The sequence below is a fragment of the Homo sapiens genome, chromosome 1 (genome assembly GCF_000001405.40).
Source record: "Homo sapiens chromosome 1, GRCh38.p14 Primary Assembly".
NCBI classification, from domain to species: domain Eukaryota; kingdom Metazoa; phylum Chordata; class Mammalia; order Primates; family Hominidae; genus Homo; species Homo sapiens.
In genome coordinates, this window is record NC_000001.11 from 46744096 (window position 1) to 46748572 (window position 4477).

At 42.8% G+C, this 4477-nt stretch overlaps 1 annotated feature.

Moving 5' to 3' along the window:
- Positions 841-1068: a silencer, noted in NCBI's record as "fragment chr1:47210608-47210835 (GRCh37/hg19 assembly coordinates)". NCBI's record gives its function as "represses an EF-1alpha promoter that drives an FKBP-Casp9 reporter gene in an ReSE screen in HepG2 liver carcinoma cells {active_cell/tissue: HepG2}" and the evidence as "EXISTENCE:reporter gene assay evidence [ECO:0000049][PMID:32094911]".

A 4477-nucleotide genomic window follows, 5' to 3' on the forward strand; every position in this document is an offset into this window, starting at 1 on the left:
TATGTAAACAAATGAAAAGTCATCACAATCAGTTTAAGTGCACAGAATAGCAATCAGTCGTGTCTATAAAAAAACAATTATTTTAAAAATTGTTGTATGATTGTTTCCTCATGATAGATTTAGAGTAAACATTTTTTTTTTGGCAGGAATGATATTATAGATCAGTGACGTGTATCACATCTGAGGGCATACAATGCTACTTGTCTAAATATTGGTTATGTTAGCTTTAATCACTTTATTGAGGAGATATCTCTCAATAATGTGTTATACTTATTTGTACATAGATCCTACACAACTTTGTGTTACATTTGTGCCTCAATACCTTATAATTTTGTTGCTATTAGAGATGGTATCTTTTAAATATTGTTTTCTACAGTAATTTTTTTGTTGCTGGTGAATAGAACTGCACTGACCTCTGTATATTAACTCTCCATCCAGTTGCCTTGCTATACTCTCCTAATAATTCTAATAATTTGTCTACAGATTTTTTTTTGTTTCATTTTATGCAGACAGTTATATTATTTGTACATAGTGACAGCCTTACCTCTCCCTTTCCAATCATTTGTGGCCGAATGTCTTTTTCACTTATTAGGGCTGAAGTTGTGTTCTCTAAGCCCATGGGCTTCCCTCAGCCACAGCACTGATAGTTCTGTGTAATTATTGCCTGATCATTTGCCTATCTCCTTTACTAGCCTGAGAATTCTTAACAAATTGATTGGTCTCTGAATCTATGTTACTCGACACTGTCCTTGGGGGCTGTCCTTGGGAGCAGTAATATGCTAGGGGTTCATAGTAGAGCAGGTCATCACAGCTCTCCATAGCAGGGATGGCCATGTCTATTTTCCAGATGGGGAGACTGGCTCAGAGATTTAGTCATTTACCTGAAGCCATTGAGTTGTTAACTGGTTTGCCTGGGATTTGAACCTGGTCTGCTGGTTCCAACTCTCTTACCAGGCCCAGGACAAATGTCTGTTGAAGGATGTCAGGGCCCAGAGTGGATGCTTGGGAATAACAATAGCCACTTATTGAGCTCTGTGCTATGTTATATAAATAATTTACTTTTAATTTTTATTTACTTGTTTTATTTCACCACACCACAGATGTGGTCTATTTCTTTTATTTATTTTTGAAATTAAACATTTCGTCATACCACAGTACAGTTTATATAAATAATTTCATTTAATCCTCCTAACAACACTATAAGATGGGTACAATATTATCTGTCTTTTTCTTTTTCTTCAAGAGAAAAAGAAAAGTCTTGCTCTGTTGCTCAGGCTGGAGTGCAGTGGCATGATCATGGCTCACTGCAGCCTTGGCCTCCTGGCTCAAACAGTCTTCCTACTTCAGCCTCCCAAAATACTGGAATTACAGGTGTGAGCCACCACACCAAGTTTATTATCTCCTTTTTGAAATGAGCAAACAGACTCAGAGAAGTTAAGCAACTCACCATAGTAGCTATAAAGTGGAAAACCTTGGATTTGAACTCAGATTTAACTCCTAATACTTTTGTCTTAATCACTATTCTGTAATGCTTCCCCAGTGAACTGACAATTGAATGGGTTGGAGGAAGAATCGAGGTGCCTTCCTCAGTCTCCAGGGGGATTAGGAAGATCTCAGGGTTTTTTTTTTTTTCTTTCCCTGGAGAGGTTTGAGCATTAGACTTCTGGTTTTGGTTAACTCAGGAAGTCCTAGCCGTCTCTCCCGCAACATGCAGAGGCCCATTTTACATTCCAGGGCTCCTCAGCTGTCCTTAGGGGCAGTAATATGCTAGGGGTTCATAGTAGAGCAGGGTCATCATGGTAGCTACTGTCCTGGGACAGCCCTTATCAATTCAGGCAATTTTGGAGGTGGACTAAGACTTTTCTTTGGGTCCAAGGAATGAGCAGGCAGTTCTGATTCCTCAGGGATTATGGGGTCACTATCTACCCTAGCGACTTCCCCAGACTTGGCAGCAGATGGTCTGTAAGCCTTCACCTTGAGAATTCCCAAGAGACAGTCCCTCAAGGGACAGTCTTTGGCTCCTAGTCTTGTGCTGCATCCTTAAGGGGCTGGGAATAACCAGACCTAAGATTCAGGGGGTCACATTAATGAGCCTGGAATAGAGCCTAAGGGTAGTCAGGGGTGGGAGGAAATGTTACACTCTCTGTAGCAACATCTGTCCTATAATGCTATGGAATAATAGCAATGTCTTGTCCAGGAATCCTGAAATATTACTAGGGGAGATAATTCCATCTCAGACCTGAGCTATATGCTTTCTGCCATATAAGCATTATGGTTAACATTGAGCTTCCTGGAAGCTAGGGCACAAAGGGAACCACAATAGATATCAGCATTTAACTTCATGAAATTCTTGAAGTCCCATAAGATGTTAATAAGAGTGTCTGGAATAAGCAGTTCATTAGTCAAATAAACCTAGGAAATACTGCATATACTACACTCCATTCTGTTTGAGGAGTCCTAATGGCATTAAATAATGAAGGCTCTGACGCATCTTGCAGCAAAATTTATTTTTTACTCAGTTTCCCAAGTTTAATTGATCATGGAGCCCCTTTCCCATGGAAAATTTATTGACGTCTAGCAATAAATCAGCATTTTGAATAGTTCATTTTGGAAAATGCTTATTTATATGTTTTCCTTGTCAGACAAAAACATTTTCTTTCCTGATTTTAAATTCTAAGGAAGGGCTAAGTATACCTCGGTTTCCCTGCCAGTTTATTCCTGTTTGACTATTTGAACCTCCCTCTATCCCTGTAATTTTTTGTCCATACCCATGTCCTCAGGAGTTTCTATAGATTTAGGAAACCAGGGTAAGTTTCCTTGGTGGAAACCCAACTATGGTGATCTAACAAGTTTAGTGAGGTGAAGTCAAAATAAAGCTTTGGAGGTGAGGGTAATTGTGAAGCCCATTAGGGGTTGGCCCAGGAAATCTGGTGAGAAGGTATTACAATGTACAGCAGTCTCTTGAGAGTCTTACCCCAATATGAGGTGGTTTCTATACTTGGAGACAGCTGTGGTTTTAGCCTGTGGACTCTGGCGACCCCTTTCCACATTTCCCTGTTCACTGCTTTGGGGAAGATGGCCTTGAGGGGCAGAAAGGAGGATTATACCAAGATATGCAATAGTTGGAGACCTATTGGTCATTCTGGACGTGGCTTCAGCCTCTGCACTTTTAGGGATGAAAAACTGGGGGTCTTGGAACAGGCCAACAGAACAGCAGGTCTTTTCTTGTTTCCTCTGGGCACACAGAGTCCCCATCCCATAGCATCAATAACTGCCTGAAGCATGACTTGTCTCCCTGACTGGATTGGAGCTCCTCAAGGATGGGGGCAGCTTCTTATATTTCTCATGCCCCTTCCCCACCACACGAGGTGCTCATGCTGGGTGCTCATGAGCACATACCCAGCCAGCATGAGCACCTAGCGTGGTGGGGAAGGGACATCAGAAAGTGCCTGATCACTAACATTTATGCGTAGCTCAGGTTTTCTAAAAAGTTCCATAGACATAATCTCATTTGGGATTCACAGCAACACTGTGAAACATGTCAGAGATTATCACCCCATTTTATAGCCAAGGAAACAAAGTCTCAGAGAGGTGAAGTGATGCATCCAACTTCACACTGTTGGTAAGTAGCTGGTGGTCTATACGCTACATCACATCTGCTGCCTTTGGAAGGATTCACCCTGAGGTTCAATATAAGAGGATTCTTAGTCTAGGTAGGGGGCGGGGAGCTGTGTCTGGTCTTAGCATCCTGCGATTCTCTCCTCAGTGGAGACTGCCTCTTTTGACCAGCAGAGGGAAGCATGGAAACACAGAGCCTTCCAAAGCCTAGGACTGTTTAGGTTCACCCTCACAGTATGTGATTAGAGCCTCAGCAGAGTTCTAGGCAAAGAATACTGACTGCCATTTGCTGCACACCCACTCTGTGCCCAATTACTATAATACATATTATTTATAACTCCTAAAGCAGCTCTCCATGGCAGGGATGGCCATCTCTATTTTCCAGATGGGGAAACTGGCTCAGAGATTTAGTCATTTACGTGAAGCCATTGAGTTGGTAACTGGTTTGCCTGGGATTTGAACCAGGTCTGCTAGTTCCAACTCTCTTAGCAGGCCCAGGACAAACGTCTGTTGAAGGAAGTCAGGGAAGGGTCTTCTTCCCTCCCAGCCATCCTACTTCTCCAAGTTCATACCACACAGTGCTGAGTGCAGCTCCTTAGCTCAAGGAAGAGGTCATGCTGCAGTCCGCCTCCTACCTCCCAATTCTGTCACTGCTCAGCGTCTCATACCTTCCTTTCCTTTTTTTCTGCACCTCCCTCTACTTCTTTTCCATCCAAAGCTGGGACAGGCAGCAGGCGCATGGGGCCAGAGGCTGGAACACTGGACTGGGCTGAATCTGGATCTCTGGTCTCTGACCTTGTTGATTATCCTGGTCTTGCTGCTGTTCCCTCTGCTCCCCCAAACCCCTGCATCCAGGTAC